The 22,063-nt window shown below is 37.7% G+C and overlaps 1 protein-coding gene and 1 long non-coding RNA gene across 55 annotated transcripts in view; both read right to left on the bottom strand.

Moving 5' to 3' along the window:
• Positions 1–22,063, bottom strand: part of SIPA1L1 (signal induced proliferation associated 1 like 1) — a 420,734-nt gene that overhangs the window by 234,089 nt on the left and 164,582 nt on the right. For 6 of the 54 annotated variants that reach the window (XM_047431251.1, XM_047431215.1, XM_047431240.1 and 3 more), the window contains one exon: positions 3,453–3,509. The exons of the other annotated variants lie outside the window; for them this stretch is intronic. The gene's annotated coding sequence lies outside the window, so the exon portion shown is untranslated. The remainder of the gene's footprint in view (positions 1–3,452; positions 3,510–22,063) is intronic. 54 annotated transcript variants of the gene reach the window in all.
• Positions 17,407–19,260, bottom strand: LOC145474 (uncharacterized). Its single transcript, NR_027046.1, has one exon. It is a non-coding gene; the product is annotated as an uncharacterized LOC145474 (long non-coding RNA).

Here is a 22,063-nt window from a genome sequence, read left to right as displayed (position 1 = left end):
TAGAAGGCAAGAATTTAAGGCATTACACTGCAAAAGCCATCAGACTGTGAATAAGCGTAATATCTCTGCACATTTGGCTTAAAAAGAACATAATTTAGAAATTCTACAATATAAAATAGGTACCTCTGCTATGGCTTTTGCATTAGACTACAAAACAGGCCAGGCAAGGTAGCTCACGCCTGTAATCCCAGCACTGTGGGAGGCAGAGGTGGGTGGAACGCTTGAGCCCAGGAGTTCCAGACCACCCTGGGCAACAAGACGAGACCCTGTGTCAAAGAAGAAAAAAAAGGAAAAAAAAAAAAAAGATTACAAAATAGATAAATGTGAGATAATAATATGGAGAGAATTCATAGAGAAATATAAATTCCATATTAAACATGTAAAAATACCCTTAACAATCAAAAAAATAAACATTAAAGCAAAAATGAAGTACCATCATTGTACAACTACTAAATTAGCAAAATAATATTTTGTACATTTGGCCCAGCACGGTGGCTCACACCTGTAATCCCAGCACTTTGGGAGGTTGAGGCGGGTGGATCGCCTGAGGTCAAGAGTTCGAGACCTGTCTGGCCAACATGGTAAAACCCCGTCTCTACTAAAAGTACAAAAATTAGCCAGGTGTGGTGGCACGCCCCTGTAATCCCAGCTACTTGGGAGGCTGAGGCACAAGAATCACTCGAACTTGTGAGGCAGAGGTCACAGTGAGCCGAGATCACGCCACTGCACTCCATCCTAGGCAAAAAGAGCAAAACTCTGTCTCCAAAAATATATATATATGTATTTGCTTGGACAAGTAATTAATGGCACTCCCAGAAAAGGATCTTATGTAAATAATACAACAGAAGCAAAAGGTTATAGGAACAAATATACATTCTACTACAATGTTTTTGAAGCAAAACACAAATAATCTGGAAACAAGTCAATTATCCAACAATAGACATATATAGAAAATTATGGTGCAACAAAACTATAACCTATAATTTTTTGTTCTTTCATGTGACAATAATGGGACAACGTGTGCAAACCTGGAAAAATAACTGATACCATGTTAAGGTGGAAAACAGAATACAGGATGAGTATCCCTTATCCAAAATGCTTGGGACCAGAAGCATTTCAGAATTTACGTTTTCGTGGGGATTTTTTTTTTGGGGGGGGGGAATATTTGCATATCCATAATGAGATATCTTAAGGATGGGACCCAAGTTTAAACATGAAAATTCATTTATGTTTCATATACACCTTATACACATAGCCTGAAGGTAATTTCATACAATATTTTCAATAATTTTGTGCACAAAACAAAGTTTGTGTACACCGAAACATCAATGAAGTGCAAACTGTCACATCAGGTCAGGTGTGGAAATTTCCACGTGCGGCATCATGTTGGTGCTCAAAAAGTTTTAAATTTTAAAGCACTTCAAATTTCCAATTTTGGGATTAGAGATGTTCAACTTGTAATATACCTACCAAGATTAAAAGTACACTAGGTAAAGAATGAAAAGCTAGGCCAAGACAAAGATGGAAAAACTCAAAGTTCAAATAAGTATTATATTGGAGTGATACATTTATGGAGCATTTTATTTTTCAATATTATTTTAATAATAAAGTAGATGAAACAAAATCTAGGCATCATGGGATAACAAGATTGACACAGAGACAAAAACCTATAGCGACAGTGCTAAAAAAAAAAAAAAAAGAAGAAAGAGAGAGCTGTGAGATCCCAATGTTAGACAGCAGTAACGGTAAGTTTTCACAAATGAAATAAAAAGAGGTCACCAGCTTTAGAAACTTAGAAAGCTACTAAGGACCTAAGAGAGAGGCACTTCAGCAAAATGGTAGAGACACAGATCTTACACAGAGAACTGCTTATTAAATAAATGAGGTGGGGAAGTATCTGTGAGTGACCCAGGCAATGCGGGGAAATAAATTGTTGATCACCTGGGCAAAGAATGAAAGAACGGTGATAGTTTGGAAAAGAATCAAGGTTGAGAAAAGTTTTTTAAACTACAAAATATTAAGGAAAGTGAATGGTCAGTAAAGAGAAACAATGAAAATGCAAAGGAGAATGAAAACTACAAAATGGCTCTTGGAGGCCACATAACACAAGAACTCAGGTTACATGAAGCACAACATGGCTTTTCATTGCTCCCAAAAAGCACTCAAATTTGTCTACAAAAGTGATCCTTCATTAAAAATTTTCATATCTTCTTAAAATCAGACATACTGATTAGAACACGTCTCCAACAGCATTTTAGCAAAAAGCCAGAGTTCAAATGAATGATTCTCTACTGACTTCTAAAAAAGGTAGAAGTCCCAAGTTAAACCCCAAATAAAATAATTTTGTTAGAGCAAGGAATGTTTGGAATGGATCTAAAATTCACATTTTTCTTCACTTCAACATCACTGAAATCAGTACGCATCTTATATTTCCTGGCATCTTAGCAATGTGCCATAGTTTAGAAGGCTGCATTTTTTTCTTTTTTAAAAATTTTCCCAGATTCAACTCAATTCCTCACAGAGCATTTTTTTCCTTAATAATACATAAGATAATGGTGTGCCTTACAATAGAAGGTATCTTTTATTTTTAAAAATATGGTATCTTTTGGTCCTTACCAACTTCCCTCACGTGTTACTATATAACTACAACAGAAAAGGAGGTAGAGAATAGAGAGAGGAAAGCTGGCATATGCAGTTTTAAACTACTCTGTTTTATAAAAATAGGAAACTGTGAACATTTCACCAGATTTCTGATTCTATAACTAAATGATCCCCACGGTTCTGATTCAGTAACGTTTATTCATGCTCATAAATGCAGAACATAAATCTTACATATACACATTTCACAGCACTCCATGTGAGTAACGGTCATGTTACAGCACAGGAAAAATGACATTTAAGGAAAAAGGATAATGAAAACAGCATACTTTCATTTAAACACAAAAACTTTAAATTTTTTTTTTATTGAACAAGATCAGAGACAAGAATATTTTTATTAAAAATATTAAACTTTTAGGACTGGGCGCGATGGCTCATACCTGTAATCCCAGCACTTTGGGAGGCCAAGGCAGATAGATCGCTTGAGGCCAGGAGTTTGAGACCAGCCTGGACAACATGGTAAAACCCTGTCTCTACAAAAAATACAGAAAAGTAGCCACACCTGGTGGCACACACCTGTAATCCCAGCTACTTGGGAGGCTGAGGCACAAGAATCGCTTGAACCCAGGAGGCAGAGGTTGCAGTGAGCCAATATTGTACCACTGTACTCTAGTCTGGGTGACAAGACCGAGACTCTGTCTCAAAAAAAATAAAAATATTAAACTTTTAAGAGAAATACTAGATAAGTAACTATCACTCAGGGCAATTTAATACATATTAACACATTTGCAACTTTTCTGTAAATATAAAATTATTCCAACATAGTTTACAAAAGTAAATAAATATATACATACATATTAACAATTTCAGTGACGATTTTTTTGGTGTTTTAATCTCAACAAATGGGTTGTCTAGAAACATTAAAGAAAAATATGTGAAACATTTACAGCGTCAAGCACCTTTGGCAATTACCATAATCACAATTAGCCACTCTGAACTGGATGCACTACAAATTTTTAAATGTTTTACAAATAAGGAAACTGAATTTGCCAACCAATAAATGTATTCTACTACTTCTGCCTATACTGTTGGAAATATAAAGGATGATCAAGTCAATGAAATCAGCATCTTAAAATGTTTCTTCAGCATAATCAGCTTATTGAGGACAGCAGTTTACTCAGAGAACATTTAAAAGTGACTGAATATACACATGGGTTCAGCATCAAAACAAAAACAGGTAACATGCCAGAAAATTCCATCATGACCTTCTAGTTGTATAACTTTGTAATTTACTTTCACATGCATTGTTCTTAGGATAAAATGAGCTATACTATTAGATATAAGAACTCCAGATCTTCCCATTTTTAAATAATACTATCTACACCATTTGAAGCTAAACTCAGACATACAAACTTCATCATGCTAAAATTTATCAAGCACATTTTTTCAATAGAGGTCAGGGACATGATGACTACAAAATTTCATGTTACATCATACAAGAATTGCAACTAACTGTCCTACAGCAAGGGGGGACATGCATAAGAATTCAAAACTTCTGGAATTTTATTACTAAGTCTTTTATAAAATATGGAGATAATATTTTCTGATTATTTAATATAAGGAATGCACTATGCTAGGAGAAATTTAAAAAGCAGCTCCTGTCCTTAAGAAAATCAGAGTATAACAGGGAAAGAAACATAAAGAACTTCATTAACATGTGGCAGAACACGGTGTTAGAGGAGTCTTACGAGAACACAAGGATGATAAAACTGAGAAGTATATTAAACCATAACTACATTTGCACTAATGTAGGTGAAAAATAGTCTCTCTGGATTAAATGGGTCACTAGGAATAAGAGTATTTTATTTTAGTTATCTGCAACATGTTTTAAATGTTGACAAGTTTTCATATTTAACATACTCTACCCTAATAGCCAAAAATTTTTGTTTCTGGGCTTTTAAAATACTCAAGATTCTAGGCTGGGCATGGTGGCTCATGCCTGTAATCCCTTTGGGAGGTTGAGCCGGGTGGATCACTTGAGGCCAGGAGTTTGAAACCAGCCTGGCCAACATAGTGAGACCCTGTCTCTACTAAAAACACACACACACACACACAAAATTGCCAGGCATGGTAGCATGTGCCTGTAGTCTCAGCTACTCGGGAGGCTGAGGCATGAGAATCACTTAAACCCTGGAGGCGGAGGTTACACTCCAGCCTGGCAACACAGCGAGACTCTGTCTCAAATATATATATATATATATATATATTTTTTTTTTTTTTCAAGTATCTCAAAGGCTCTCATGATAGTAAAACCAAAATAGCCAAATAAAAGCATCAGTCCATGAAGGTAAAATGGTTTTTAAGAACAACCATGGCTAATACTGAAGAATTCTAATTACTTGTTAGCATACCAGGCTACAATATGACACACAGAAGAAAAAAAAAAAAAAGCTATGTTCAATGAAGATTTTTTTTTTTTTTTTTGGAAACAGGGTCTTACTATGTCGCCCAGGGTAGAGTGTACTGGCAGTTCACAGCAGCCTCTACTTCCCGGGTTCAAGTGGCCCTCCCACCGCGGCCTCCCGAACAGTTGGGACTATAGGCACATGCCAACATGCTCAGCTAATTTTTGTATTATTTATTTATTTATTTATTTTGTAGAGACGGGGTTTCGCCATGGTTTGAGACCCAGGCTGGTCTCAAACTCCTGGAAATCAAGCAATCCTCCCACCTTGGCCTGCCAATGTGCTGGGATTACAGGCATGAGGCCACTGTGCCCAGACTTCAATTAATTTTTTAATGAAGCTTTTATAAAAACTGAAACGTACAAATTCTACATGTACATCTTTTAGAACTTTCAGAAACTGAACCGACCACTGTAACTACTACTCGATCAGGAAAGAGAACATTACCAACACCTCAGAAGCCACCCTCATAAGTCCTCAGTAACCTCCAGTGCTAACAACCATTTTGACTTCCAGCACCACAGATTAGTTCTGCCTGTTTTTGTATGGTCACTTTACAACATGGGAAAAGCAATTTATTTAAATGGGGTCAGAGAATATGTACACTTTCTTATGTCTTCTTTTGTTTCACATTGTGAACTTCATCTTTGTTGCTATGGAAAGCAAAATACTACAGAGGATTTCACCATTTATCTTTTTTCTTCATATATATTTATTTTTATTTATTTATTTATTTTTGAGACAGGGTCTCGCTCTGTCACCCAGGCTGGAGTGCAGTGGCTTCAACATGGCTCACTGTAGCCTCGACTCCTGGGCTCAAGCGATCCTCCCACCTCAGCCCCCCAAGTAGCTGGGACCACAGATGCACACCACTGCACCCAGCTAATTTTTAAAATTTTTTATAGAGATGACGTCTAACTATGTTCCCCAGGCTGGTTCAAACTCCTGAGCTGAAGCAATCCTCTTGCCTTGGCCTCCCAAAGTACTGGGATTACAGGCCTGAGCCGCTGCACTCGGCACCTTTTAATGTTTTTGTTTTGTTTTGTTTTTGGAGGCGGAGTTTCGCTCTTGTTGCCCAGGATGGAGTGCAATGGCACGATCTCGGGTCACCGCAACCTCTGCCTCCCGGGTTTAAGCAATTCTGCTACCTCAGCCTCCTGAGTAGCTGAGATTATAGGCATGCGCCACCATGCCCAGCTAATTTTGTATTTTTAGTAGAGATGGGGTTTCTCCATGTTGGTCAGGCTGGTGTCAAACTCCCGATCTCAGGTGACCCGCCCGCCTTGGCCTCCCAAAGTGCTGGGATTACAGGAGTGAGCCACTGCACCCTGCCCCCTTCTAACTTTTGATGAACATTTTGTTCTATTCTAGTTTGATGCAAGCACAAATAATGCTGCTATAAACACTTTTGGCATATTCTTTGGGGCACAGATGTGTGTGTTTCCATTGTATCTGTACACCTGGTAGTGGAACTGCTGGGTCAAAAGTTCTAGCAATTTTACTCCCACTAGCAGGGTGTATAAGTTGCAATTTATACTTCCACGAGCAGAGCTGTCCAATTGCTCTACACTTGGAGTTATCTTTTTCATTTGTTCTACTGGTAAGAATATAATAATACAACTGTGGCTTTAATTTGCGCTTCCACCATATGATTTTGAGGGCCTTTTAAGAGGCTTATTTTATTGTCCAAATGAGCATCTTCTTTTGTGAATTGCTTCTTCAAGTCTTAGATCTTTGGCTGGGGGAAGGCAAGAGGGAGGGAGTGTCACGCTTTTATTGATTTGTAGCTCTTTATGTATTGTGGTTATGAGTGCTCTGTTGGATGTATGTGTTGCAAATATTTCCTCCCACTCTGTAACTTGCCTTTTTGCTCTTAATTTTTATTTTGTTGAAGAGAAATTCTTAATTTTAATGTTCAACTTATCAATGTCTTCCTTTATCTAGTTAATCTCAATGACACTCAAACACTACGTCCAAATGTCAAAAAAAGGAATGTTTAGACTAATTCAACTAATATTAGCATGTTTATAATAGATATTTTAAAGAAGTTTATGCAAAGATTTTAATTTCTAACAAATTTGGCATAATTGCTCAATAAAAAAGAACCTTAGGGCTTATTTTAGTGAAAAATGGTTAGGAACTGAATCTCTGGTTTCTGGTGGGACACATATCAATGACCTCCTTCTCAATTAAACGATTTTAAATTTCTATTCTCATTCAAACAATTTTGCACAGTGGCTCTTAAAGACAGGTTTTGCTTTAATATCATGAAGAAACTGAGAATCTAAGTAATGTGAAACAAAACAAATCAAAAAAGCCCCCCAAAACAAATTACACCCCTGAATATCTCATTACTAAAATTAGGGCAATGATTATTTAGCACATCAATCACCTTTTTTTTCCTTTTGCTAATTTCTATTGCTATCCTATTTCACATCCTGAAATGAGAACCAAAAATAACTGAGGAAAATAAAGCTGTTAGATTGATAATTTAAGATATGATATTTGCATAACAAATTACCATATTATGATACAATTACATATTCCTTAAACAAGAACTTGCTTGACAGGATGAGGCATGCAAAGCAGCAAAGTACTTTAAAAACTTGAGAAAAAATCTGGTCAACAATACGCAAGCAGATGTTGTGCTTATATAAATTACATACATAGGAAGAGTTTCCTTTTCTCTCTCTGTATAGATATATACATATTTTTGAGACAGGGTCTCACTGTGTCATCCAGGCTGGAATGCAGTGACACGATCATAGCCCACTACAGCCTCAACCTCCGCAGGCTCAGGTGATCCTCCCACCTCACCCTACCAGGTAGCTACAGGCACGTGCCACCTCCTTTTCTATTTTTATAATCTTTGATTAAACTAACAATCTACTAATCAAGTTTTATTTATAATAAAAGCATCAAAATGACTTGATGAATGTGGGAAAGAATCAACCCTGCAAACCATGATTTAAATGTTTCTTTTATGCAATAACAACTTGAGGAATATACTTTTTCTTGTCACTTGTTAGATTAGTGTTAATGACAAATCATATAAACCCTATCATTTGAAGAATCTGAAGTATCCTAATTTTCCCAAAATGCTTTTCAGCAAAAGTATGCAATACTACATCATCAAAAATTAATAAATTAATATAAGCCTTGTAAAGAACATTTGATAACCTATGGTTAAACAGCACAAACAAAAAGCCTACTTCATCCTGTCCTGACTAGTCACAAACAGTAATACCTCACTTATCAAGAAAGCTCCATCTGAAAAATTCTACTCACCACATCACGGACTAGAAAAAGCAGCAAAAGAGTTGGTAGGCAAATTACATAAAGAAAAAACAAAAACTACCCAAACTCAAGATTGTTCAACAGCATCCATATAATTCTGAAAATAGTAGAATATGTACTGCATGGAATACTGTTTATTCAGCTCATAGACAATGCTCACTGCACACACAGATTCACACTCACAGACTCCTCAGATGAATTTCAGGGCCCCCAGTTTGGAGGAGCACTAAAACAGATGTTACAGAGTTTATGTACTTTCCTTAGAGAAGAGCTCTTGGGGAATTTACTGAGAAGCACTTCACTATTTTTTTTCAAACATGATTCTTATAGCCTTATTCATGATCATTTCATAAAAGCAGTAAACCAAAAACCGAATGGAAGTGGAAGCACTGCCAGAATCAGGCATGCTAACAGCAGAAAAGGAATGCCTGAAAGAGACATAAGCAGCCTTACACCACTCAATAGTCATTGCTAGCTTCCCTGTAATTTCAAACCCATATGAAAATTACAGTTCATACAATGACTTTGTTATCAAGAAAAGATTGTATTTTTAAGTGTACCTAAAATAAGATTTCTCAGAAAAGGTTAACATAGCAAATTTAAAGCTTAAAGAGGACACTCCACCAAAGAGGTACAAAGATAGCAAATACATGAAAGATGTCTGAAACCACCATTAGCCATTAGGGAGATGCAAATTAAAGTCATAAGAAGATCCCACTCACACCTATTAAAATGGCCAAAATTTAAAATGCTGGCAATACCATGTAGTGGCAAGAATGGGAAATGAGAACTCTCCAACATTGCTGGTGAGAACGAAAAATGATACAGTCACTCGTGAAAGTGGTTTGGCAGTTTCTCATAAAGCACTTACCCTATGACTCAGAAATCATGCACCTGGGCATCTATCCTAGAGAAATGAAAGCTTACATTAACAGAAAAATCTGGACACAAATGTTCATAGCAGCTCTATTCACAATCACTCAAAACTGGCAACAACTCAAGTGTCCTTCAACAGGTGATTGTATAAGCAAATTGGTATATCCACACAATGGAATATCCTGAAATAAAAAGCAACTACTGATACATGCAACAGCTTGGATGAATCTCAAAGGCAAGCTTAGTGAAAGCAGCTAGTCTTGGAAGATTATATACTGTATGGCTCCACTTATATAACATCCCAATTTATTAAGTTAAGTGACATTCTTTAAAAGAAAAAACTACAGGAATGGATGGCAGATCAGTGGTTGCCAGAGATTATAGGTAGGCAAAGAGGTGACTATAAAGGGGTAGCATGAGGGAGTTTTAGGGGGTTACAAAACTCTTCTGAATCTTTATTATAATGAAAGTCACAAAAATCCATACATGTATTTAAATTCCTGGGATTGTATATGTGTATGATCATTTAGAACGGTATGGGCCAGGTGTGGTGGCTCACATCTGTAATCCCCAGCATTCTGGGAGGCCAAGGAAGAACGATCCCTTGAGTCTAGGAGTTCAAGACCAGCCTGGGCAATATAGCAAGACCCCATTGTAATAAAAATAAATAAAACTGTAGGATCTTTTTTTTTGTTTTTTTGTTTGTTTGTTTTTTGAGATGGAGTTTTGCTCTTGTTGCCCAGGCTGGAGTGCAGTGGCGTGATCTCAGCTCACTGCAACCTCTGCCTCCTGGGTTCAAGTGATTCTCCTGCCTCAGCCTCCTGAGTAGCTGGGATTACAGACACGCGCCACCATGCCCAGCTAATTTCTGTATTTTAGTAGAGGTGGGGTTTCACCATGTTGGCCAGGATGGTCTCAATCCCCTGACCTCATGATCCTCCTGCCTCGGCCTCCCAAAGTGCTGGGATTACAGGCGTGAGCCACCGCGCCCAGCCCAGGATCATTTTTAAAGGATTCTCTTTTTAGTTTAAGATAAAAACATTACTGGAGAAAAAGAGGGACAATTTATAATGATAAAAGGGTCATCAGTGAAATATAATAATTAAAAACCTACATGCAACCTAACAACAGAGCACCAAAACAAATGAAACAGAACTGAGAGAGACAATTCATTAATAATTGAAGACTTCAAAACTCCACTCTAAATAATTGACAGAATAACCAGACAAAACATCAGCAAGGGTATAAACACTAGACAGTATAATTAACCATACTGACTTAACTGACATCTATAGAAAACTTCATCCAACAACAGCAGAATACACATTCTTTTTAAGGTCCAGGTTAGACCATTTGCAATGTCACAAAACAAGTCTCAAATTTAGAAGGATTGAAATAATATAAAATATGTTTGCTGATCACAAAGAATTAAAATCTACAATCAAAAGAAATTTGAGAAATCTCCAAATACTTGAAAATCAAACAATAACATCCAAACAACCCATGGGTCAAAGAAAAAAAAAATCACAAGCAAAATTAAGAAATATATTTATTATCATCATTAATACAATTTTTATTTTTAGACATGGAGCCTCGCTATGTTGCCCAGACTGGCCTTGAACTCCTTGGTGCAAGTGATCCTCCTGCTTCAGCTTCTTGAGTAGCTGGGACCACAGGCATATGCCACCACACCCAGCTCAAAATTTTAAAATACCTTAAACTGAATAAAAACAAAAATACAACATGTCAAAATTTATGGGATGCAGCTAAAGCTGTGGCTAAAGACAATTTTATAGCTTTTTTTTTTTTTTTCTTTTTTTTTAAGACAGGATCTTGCAGGCTAGAGTGCAGCAGCAAGATCATGGCTAACTACAGCAGTCTCAAGCAATCCTCCCAACTCAGCCTCCCAAGTAGATGGGACCACAGGCACATGCCATTAAACCCAACTGATTCTTTTTTTCTTTCTTCTTCTTTTTTTTTTTTTTTTTTTTTTTTTTTGTAGAGATGGAGTGTCACTATGTTACCCAGGCTGGTCTCGAACTCCTGGCCTCAAATGATCCTCCCACCTTGGCCTCTCAAAGTGCTGGGATTACAGGTGTGAAACACTGCTCACAGCTGAGAATTTTATAGCTTTAAACTTAAACCTATTTTAGAAAATAAGAAAGATCTCAATCGTCTTCACTTTAAGAAACTAAACAGTAAAGTAACCCCAAGCAAGCCAAAAGAAAGAAGTTAAAGTTTAGAGCAAAACCCAATGAAACTGAAAACAGAAAAACAGTAAAAGTCAATAAAACCAAAAGCTGGTTCTTTGAAAAAGTAAATAAAATAGACAAAGCTTTATTTAGATTGACCAAGAAAAAAAGAAAATTATCCCCCCCAAAATTACCAAAATCAGGAATAAATGAGGGAGCATCACTATTGACCCTACAGTATAAAATATAAATATATTTTAAATATATAAAAGAAAATATAAAAACAGTATGCCATCAAATTAGACAAATTAGATTAAATGGACAAATTCCTAGAGAGACATAAATAACCAATACCAACTCAAGAAGAAACAGAAAATCTCAATATACCTAAAACAAGAAATTGAATTACTAATTAAAAATCTTCCCAAAAAGAAAATACCAGGACTAGATGGCTTCACCATGGAATTCTATCAGATACATAAAGAAACAATGCCAATTCTTCACGAACTCTTCTAGAAAACAGAGAAAGAGACAACACTTCCCAGCTCATTTTATATTACCACAATACTAAAGCCAGACAAGAGCATTACAAAATAAGAAAACAATGAACCAATATTCCTCAAGAATTTACAAACAAAAATTCTCAATTAAAAAATCCTCTGTCTGGGTGCAGTGGCTCCCACCTGTAATTCCAGCACTTCTAGGAGGCCAAGATGGGAGGATCAACTGAGCCCGAGAGTTCAAGATCAGCCTGAGCCAGGCGCAGTGGCTCATGCCTGTAATCCCAGCACTTTGGAAGGCCAAGGCAGGTGGATCACGAGGTCAGGAGTTTGAGACCAGCCTGACTAAACATGGTGAAACCCTGTCTCTACTAAAAATACACAAAGTAGCCAGGCAAGGTGGTGCACACCTGTAGTCCCAGCTACTCGGGAGGCTGAGGCAGGAGTAACCAGCCTGGGCAATATAGTAAGGTCCCATCTCTACAAAAAATTTTAAAAATTAGCTGGATGAGGTTGCGTGTGCCTATAGTCCCAGCTACTATTGAGGCTGAAGCGGGAGGATCGCTTGATCCTAGGAGGATGAGGCTACAATAAGCCAAGATCATATCACTGCACTCCAGCCTGGGTGACACAGTAAGTAAGACCCTGTCTCAAAAAAAAAAAAAAAAAGAAAAGAAAAGAAAATCTCAATTAGATACTATGACCAAACGGGATTCATCTTAGCAAGTATGGTTTAACATCCAAAAATCAATTATTATAACCTCCAAAAGTCAATTAATTTAATACAACATATTAATAAAGGACAAAAAGCCACACGATTATATCAATATATACAGAAAAAGCACTTGAAAAATTTAATTCAACACCACTAATGATTTAAAAAGAAAAAGAAAAAAAGCCTTAGTAAACCAGGAACATAAGGGAACTTCCTCAGCCTGAACAAACATCATACCAACAGTAAAAGACTGAAAGCTTTCCCTCTAACATCAGGAACAAAACAAGGACGTCCACTGTCACCATTTCTATTCAACAATCCAATGAAGATTCTAACTGTTACAAGAAGGCAAAACAAAATAAAACAGAACAAAAATTAAAGGCATCTGAATAGGACAAGAAGGTGTAAAACTGATAACCTTCCAAAGCCTCAATTGTAGAGATTTTTCAATACTCACACAAGCACTACCCAATCAGAGAACTCATGTTTAAAAGCAAAAGCCCCTGTGCTATTGCATGGTAAAGACTGAACCACGGAGTCCCTTCGGGCTGGCCTGCCCACATCATCAGTGATCAGGAGTATAAAGTTCCTTCATAATATTAAAAAACAAACAAAATGCTGAATCTATCCTTTAAGGAGTAATAAAAACAAATATTTGCTGAATTAAAATTTATTCATAAAATATCTGACGTTTTCCAAATATAAACACACGTTAATTTTCTTAATCCATTTGAATAAAATCATATAGACTTTATAGTATCAGCTTCACTGCTAACAGAACATACATAACCTTTGTTCCACTGACTGCTTTTAGGTAAGAAACAATAATCCAAGTTTCCAGCCTGTGCTATATATTCTGATGAGGGATACTTTGGTGATGATACTTTGTCAAAATACTTTTTTTGTTGTTCAACATTATGTCCTTGGAGAAACATAATGAAAGTCTCCTCAGTCACTCTGGTTAATCAATTTAATTGTTTCTCTAGAAGTCACATCCACAAAAATAATTGAATTTGTATTGTTCACAAACATAGCAGTAAAACAAGACCTCCCATCTGCCCAAGTAGTTCTTCAACAACTACTTTCGCCAGGTGCAATAGCTCACACCCGTAATCCCAGCACTTTGGGAGGGTGAATGGGGAAAACTGCTTGAGCCCAGGATTCAACACCAGCCTGGGTAACATGGTGAAACCCCATCACTCCAAAAATAAAAAAAACTGGGGGCGTGGAGGGTTTGGGCACCTGTAGTCCTAGCTACTCAGGAGGCTGAGGCAGGAAAATTGCTTGGGCCCAGGAGTTCAAGGCTGCAGAAAGCTACAGAGCTACAGTCACACCACTGCACTCCAGCCTGGGTGACAGAGCAAGACCCTGTCTCTAAAAAAATAAATACCTATGTTTTGGGGGAGGGATAAAGGGGCAGGCACCACAGATATATTCTTTCGATATAAATTGATTTGGAAATTGGAGAACAGTTACATAAGTAAAAGAGATCCCAGATTCTGCCTTCCGGGACAACAAAAAAGGAGGTAAATGTATGAAAATGCCATTTACTGGCTGGGCACAATGGCTCATGCCTATAATCCCAGCACTTTGGGAGGCCACGGTGGGAGAATTGCTTGAGCCCAGGAGTTTGAGACCAGCCTGGGCAATAGAGTGGACCCCATCCCTACATTAAAAAAAAAAAAAAAATCTAGCCAGGCATGGTGGCATATGCCCATGGTCCCAGCTACTTGGGAAGCTGAGATGGATCGCTTGAGCCTGGGAGATTGAGGCTGGAGTGAACCATAATTGTGCCCTGGGCGAGAGAGTGAGCTCCTGTCTCTGAAAAATAAGAGCGGCTTTCACTCACAAATATTCTGACCACTAAAGAGCTACCGCACGGGCCTGGTCCTATCACACAGTCTTCAAGTCTGAAGCAGACAGCAGAGGTTGTTTATATCCAGAGTTTATATTAACATGACCTATATCCAGAAAACTGCTATCTGCCTCAACAGATGTCCACACTATTAAACAGCTCTGTCAAGCTCTTTCAGAATCAAAGATTTTTCTTAAAGAAAAGGAACACACTAAAATTGTCACCTGTAAACCCCACTTCTGGCTCTTTTTTAACAGGGCATCAAGCTGACCCTTTATGCTGTTGGAAAAAAACACGGCTATATTGAAGATTAAAACTTCTAAACTAATAAAAACAACACCACAGTTCTAAATTCTCTCCTGCCTCATCTCCCCTTGAAACTTCAAGCAATCCACACTTGCTCCTTCCTGCCAAATCCTTGCTGTAACTGTGCCATCAGGCTGCTAGCACGAAAAACTGAGTTACTATACCACCCTCTTTGCACTCAGCCCTGGTAGTAGCCAATATTTCCCAACACAGCCAAACAAAGACCTTGTTGTCAAGGACAGGCATCTCGGCCAATGCTAGCTACCGTGGTGCCTCGCCATTACACAGGTTGAAATACAGTCAAATCATTAGGTGACAGAGGGGAGATGGTGCTGACAGACTTGGATTAGCAGAAACAGGACAGCATTTTTCCCACACACGCACAACCCGAACTATAATAAATGAGGATTATCAGGTAAATTCTCATAATTCTCTTCATTTACAATTTACTGAAAATGTAGCCTACAAATGCCAACTCTTCATGTGGGGGGGCGGGGGAAGGGGTGTGTGTGTGTGTGTGTGTGTGTGTGTGTGTGTGTGTGTGTGTGTGTGTGTTTGAAATAAAACATTAAGCCTGAAACGGTGGCTCACGCCTGTAATCTCAGCACTTTGGGAAGCCAAGGCAGGCTGAGCATTTGACTGTTGTTCCAGCTACTTGTGGGGTTGAGGTGGGAGGATTGCTTGAGCCGGGGAGGTCGAGGCTGCAGTGAGCCATGATTGCACCACTGCACTCCAGTCTGGACGACAGAATGAGATTATCTCAAAACAACAATAACAACAACAACAACAACAACAAACAGGTTGCTCCCTAATACTACTGCTTATATTGCTTCTAGAGCACTGATTACAGTTCATATGTCCATATTTGTTTCATTTCTCTTCCACTAAGCCATTAAGTTCCATGAAGATAAGTACAATGTCAGTTTGGAGATATACTGTCCCCAGAACCTAGGCCTGACACATAGAAGGGGCTCAAGGGGAAAAAGAGGAATGAATGATGATCACCAAAAGGAACAACTGTAATTTAAACTTCAGAGAACTGAACCCAAAGATAGCTCAGAGTTTCCAAGAGCCACATTCAGTTTGCTTGAGTATCCTGCTGTAATGAAGGAAAAACAAAACTGAAATTAAAGAGACTCTTGAAAATCAACTGGTAGTTGACATTTCCTTTCCAATGAGTTAGAAATATATTAATAGGTGAATTTAATTTCTTTTTATTTTTAAATATCGACATCCTGTCTGTTTGAAGGGAGGACTCTGAGGATTAAAAAGGGTAACTACTTAAGCACTCAGTGATATACAGAGCATTATAAAATATTAGGATATGATAAATATCATTGCTACTAAGTTAAATAAGCAAACTTCCCAGTATCAGGAACAGGCATCTTCATTCCTATTAAACCCCTACCTTTGAAAATGTTCTCTACGATGTATGTACGATATCAGGTAGCTAAAACTTAAGGTCATCTTTATAAAGAAATTCTACTTTTTATAGATTCAGCATTTATGTTATTATGAAAAAATAACTATTGTAAGCAATTACTTTGCTTTTGTTCAAATGGGTATACAACAAAGAAAAAATGATAAATGCTTCCAAATGTTTCCACAAGTGTTTCAAATAATGTTGCTGTATGACACTTTGTAGGAGCTAGTTAATGGCACAACAATCTTGGAGATGTTCACACATCACCTGTGTGGGCAATGCAAAAATATTCACAGAGGTCCTCTGTTGGAAACACATCAATTATTATAATAACATGGACAATACATCCTCTTATAAATAAAATACAAGTTTAAAAACCCACATTTTCTTTTTTAAAAATACTTATTTTGATGTAAAAAAAAATTTAGACACAGTTAGTCACAAAATAATTTATAATTTTGTGTTGCTGAAAAGTACCAAAAAGACATAATGTTAAGCACTGACACCATTAAAAGGTATCATCAGCCTCAAGGAAACTATTACACAAAGGTGTTGGTTAAGATGATAATCATTAAGACTACAAGAAAAGTGGTGCCCAGAAATAAATACAGGTTTTCCTACATCAAAATAAATGCTTAAGTAACACTGTTAAATCATGAAGAAAAAAAAATATTGTCCTTCAAGGTTATTTTTTAATGAAATCAAAATAACTTATTACCACTTTGTTTCAATTTTAGTTGAAATTTTAGGCAATAATTTAACTATATCTATGCAAGCTCAATATATGTTCACTTCTCTGATTATTAAAAAGTTAGCAATAACCTTCTCTACTCCAATCTTACCCTATTAACATATCTGTTTAACACATTCTATGTAAACCTTAGACTTGTGTGTGATAAATGAGGCTTGAAAGAATCCCTCCATATTTTGATAACTGATTATTCACTTGCATAAATGAATAATGTTAAGTTGCAACATATGATAAACTGACTTCCAGCCCCGTGAGAGCTGCCACTAGTCTTACCTTTCTCATTTGTAGGTTTAATAACATTTACAAGCCTGTCCAACCCACAGCCCGCAGGCCACATGCAGCCCAGGACAGCTTTGAATGCGGCACAACACAAATTCATAAACTTTCTTAAAACATTATGAGATTTTTTGGCAATTTTTCTTTTTTTCTTTTTTTTTTTTTAAGCTAATCAGCTATCATTAGTGTTAGTGTACTTTATGCGTGGCCTGAGACAATTCTTATTCTTCCAGTATGGCCCAGGGAAGCCAAAAGATTGGACATCCCTGATTTAGGCAGTCTCCAGAGGAAAAATTCCTGACTCACCTAAATCACACTGAAGAATATATCAATACAATGGTCTTATTACCTTAAAATTAACCTGTTAAATTTTCTTTCCATGTTCTCTAACCTTTCCTAGTCAAACTGGAAAATATCCAATAAAATTAGTGTAGAGAAACCATACTCAATTCTATAACGAATAATCTCTCATCTTCTCACGAATTTCCTGGAAGTAATGAGTGTGGACTGAAGAAGCAGACATATAGCACACAGACTGGGTCCCAAGTTACAAGCACACTGACGTTATCTAGCTTCAAAGGCATACTGCCTTTCAGAGTCTAAAACAGAGCGATGTGCATCATAAGAGATAGCCTATCAGATCCCTAGGCCCCAAATGTACCAAAGGTCAGTTTTCTAAAGGCAATGTCTATTTTTAAACGAATATAAGTTGGGTTCTAAATCTGACCTCCATTTAAATGATCAACTGGGGAGGAATGTCTGGCTGGACTCCTAAGCAGTTTAAGTTGCTTGTGGAATGGTCCAAACAAAGTTCATTTTATACACAACACACAAAGATTCTCTTAGCAGCAGGCGTCTTCCACAGAGGCAAGAGCAGCAGCTGTGAACAAGGAGCCATCCTGCAGCTGAGGAGCCTGGAATTTACTTCTTCACATAACTGATAAAAGCAGGCCATTCTCCACTAAGATGGTTTGGGAAAACCAATTTCCGAGTGCTCAGTATAAAAGAATGAGCATATTTTATGAAAAACAGAGCATATTTTCAGTGGCGTGCAGAGTACATGAATACCATCCAGAAGAAGATGCCAACAAAAACCTACAGTATTTTCAAGCTTCCTCACAGTACTCTTCTCTTCACAAAGTACAAGTTCACAGCCTACACTGACCAAGAGTCTCAGTGACAAGGAAGAAAGAGTTTTCTTTTGAATTTTGTGTTCAGAAACAGGAAAATAAAGGAAAACCATGAATTTCCTATTACAACATCTCTTAGAGATAATTATGGCATCAACTGATAATTTTGGAAATTTTCATCATTCTCAATTTTGAAGAAGCCTCAAAGCACTGGGAACTTTTACAGCTTTTTAAAAATTATTTTTCATGGGTACTACAACAGTGGTATAAGGTTGGCACTAGCATACTGTACTAGTTGGGAAATTATGTCCTATCCATTTTAATATCCACATTTGAAAAATCACTTCCAGGACAGAGTGAAATTCTAAAACAAATACACCTCTGAAAACACATCTATAAACATAGAACTACATAAATTATATATATATATTTTAAGCCAAAATAATAGTAATTCAGTAAACTCCATTTAATAAACTATTAATAATCAGTAATGAAAGTGAATATAGCAGATGTGCCCATTTGTACATGTCACTAACAAGGTCTGCCTTCTCTCATTAGCCAGTAGTTCTGGCCCCCTCCACCACGCCTAAAGATAAACCAACACAGTGAGTCAGAGGGCAGAGCAAAGCCAGACATCTCCTTTTCTAGATATCTGAACAATCAGACTTTAAGATTCAAAAAGTATCGACCATGAGAAGTGAAAGCATAGCATCTGCATCAAAAGCCTTGATTTGTCATGGCACCTACACACTGAGGATGGGGTGTATGTGTATGTATCTGTCTGTCTCCCCCAGTTCCCTGGAAAATCCTAAAGGTAAAGACTACTCTTGTTCTCTTTTGCAGCTCTAGAACCCAGCATATAGCAGATATTCAAGTGTTAAATGACAACTTGAGCAAATGAATACAGATCTCCTACAATGAGTCTTCCAATGACAAATAATTATAGCTCTCAATTATGCCCTGGTATCTGCATGAGGTCCAGCTCATTCAATAAAACAAAGCATGGTGAAAAACTGCTGTTCCTCACCTCATTCTTTACCTCTGGGATCCACAGATCTCACTTCCTCATGTCCCCAAGAGCTGAGCAGAGTGAAAGTGGACACTGGAGAGCTCTAGGTAGTCTTCCTTTCTCCTCTTCCTGCTCACCCATGCACACTCATTCATTACATATTTAATGGGTACCTACCATGCCCTATACACCATACACAGATGCCAGGAATAGCTCTAACACACCATAGCAACTGCCCTCCAAGAATTTATCACTGAGAAAAGCAGAGAAGTTACTGCAATGCAATGTGAAAAAATGATGGATATACAGAATGCATGCTTCCTATGAGAAGTCAGGCACTGTTTGGAGTATTTACAGGAACTATCTCATTTTCTCCATATCACCACTGCTTAACTTCCTCTCTATGATGCGGTAGGCAGAGACCAGGGAACATTCAGTAGGAACACCTAAGCCACTAAACCAGCCAGGAGCACCTGAGCCACTAAACCAGTCAGAAGGTGATGGGGAGGGGAGGGAAAACAGCACGCATGTGAAAAGAAGGCTGAGCAGAAGACGTGAAACCTGAAGGATCAAAAGAAGTTTCCAGGTTGAAGAGGAGTAAGCAGAACTTTTCATGCAGAGAACTTACCAGGCAGAAAAATCCAGAGGGAAGAAAGACCACCGTGCCATCAGAAGATTATGGCAGAATTTGGTACTGAATCAGCGTAGCTACCCAAAGCAGTTCTTAACATGCTAGGGAGAGAGCTTTCAAGAGTTCTATCTAAAGAAGGGCCTCTGTGAGAAAGAAAGACCGGATAATTTTACATAAATATTTCTAAAACATGCGCCTTTAGAAGAAGCATGAAAAAATTTATTAATTTGTAGCACGTAATATCAATCCTGTTCTATTTTTAAACCCTGAATAATATTTATAGATTTAAAAGATTACTTATTGGAAAGTAATAATGGTGCATTAAGAATTTTACAAAAGCATAGAAATGACCTGGGAAATAATTTGTCGAAAGCTGAAATATTTCTTTAAAATACTCTTAAATAACACCCTTCACTCTAAATTTTGGCAAGATGGTTAGGCAGATTCATGACTTAAAAAATAAAAGTTGTATTTGATGGCAGAAAGTCAACTTTTTCAAACTCAGTTTCCACTCCGCTCCCCTTCTTTAGCGATAGAAGTATCATTTTATTTGGGCTGGCAAAGTGCCCATTTAAACACCACACTTGAGCCTCCCTTGAAGATAGCAGTGGCCAAGGAGTTTCAAGTAGAAGTCAATGAGTAGAGATTCCAGAAAGTCTCATTTGCCTGTTTTCCTTTCCCCTCCTCTTGCAGACAACTAGGCTGGAGCTCCTGTGGATTTGGGGACAAAGGCCTTACACCCAAAAGGCTGAAAGCCAGGAGCCTGTGTCCTTTCCTGATGACTTGATAGAAACACCACCCCAAGTGGTTTCCCCACAGAAAATCGAACCCTGTATAGTCAGATAGCTGTTCCTACTAGTCAAACAGAAATTTCATTGCAGATGCTGGAGAATATTTAAAGTACACATGGTAAGATTTGGCAAAAAACAGTTGCAAATACATTTAGGGTATTAAAAATATTTCATGATTCACTATCTTTTTCTGTCTAAATCGCACATCCGTATGATTATGAAACATCTTTTTAAATCAAAATAAATGTTTTCCAATGTTTTCTTTGGGCAGGAAAGACACCCAGTTCTTGAAACATCTGATCTACTCTGGGTGCTGAATTAGGGAGAGTGAGTAGGGCCAACAGAAAGATCTCTGGAGAGAGGGTGTATAGGCAATGTAGGGGGGGAAATGGAAGTTAAACATCAACAACAACAAATGTAAGCAATTTACAAAAGCTTCCTTGTGTTTTACAAGCCAGGTGAATTGTTAGATAAGAATCAATTTGGGGGTCTATGCCCTAAACCAGCGGTCCCCAATCTTTTTGGCACCACAGACTAGTTTTGTGGAAGACAATTTTTCCACACACTGGGGGCAGTAGGGAATGGTTTCAGGATGATTCAAGTATATTACATTTATCATGCACTTTATTTTTATTATTATTACATTATAATACATAATAAAATAATTATACAACTCACCACAATGTAGAGTCAGTGGGAGCCCTAAGCAGGTTTTCCTGCAACTAGATGGTCCCATCTGGGGGTGATGGGAGACAGTGACAGATCATCGGGCATTAGATTCTCATAAGGAGCACGTAACCTAGATCCCTCACATGCACAGTTCACAATAGGGTTTGCACTCCTATAAGAATCTAATGCCACCACTGATCTGACAAGAGGCGGAGCTCAGGTGGTAATGGGCAATGGGGAGCAGCTGTAAATACAGATGAAGCTTCACTTGCCTGCTCACTGCTCACCTCCTGCTACGCAGCCCAGTTCCCAAGAGGCCACAGACTGGTACTGGTCCGTGGTCCGGGGGTTGGAGACCCCTTCTCTAAATGAATATCTGGTTGCCACTGCCCATCATCACAGGATTTCATGGACTTAACTGTAATAGCATTCTTCTGCTACTGATATCCTGTCATTTTATCTTTAAAAGGTAGAGCTGCTTTATGGCAACTTACCTGATAAGTGACACACATTTCATTTGGTTTTTGTGGAAACGTTATTGTACCTCTTTCTCTATTCCCACCCTCCAAAATAGCTAAA

Source organism: Homo sapiens, chromosome 14 (assembly GCF_000001405.40).
Source record: "Homo sapiens chromosome 14, GRCh38.p14 Primary Assembly".
Classification (NCBI taxonomy): domain Eukaryota; kingdom Metazoa; phylum Chordata; class Mammalia; order Primates; family Hominidae; genus Homo; species Homo sapiens.
The sequence above is the reverse complement of the archived record's forward strand: the minus strand, read 5'-3'. Positions and strand labels throughout refer to the sequence as shown.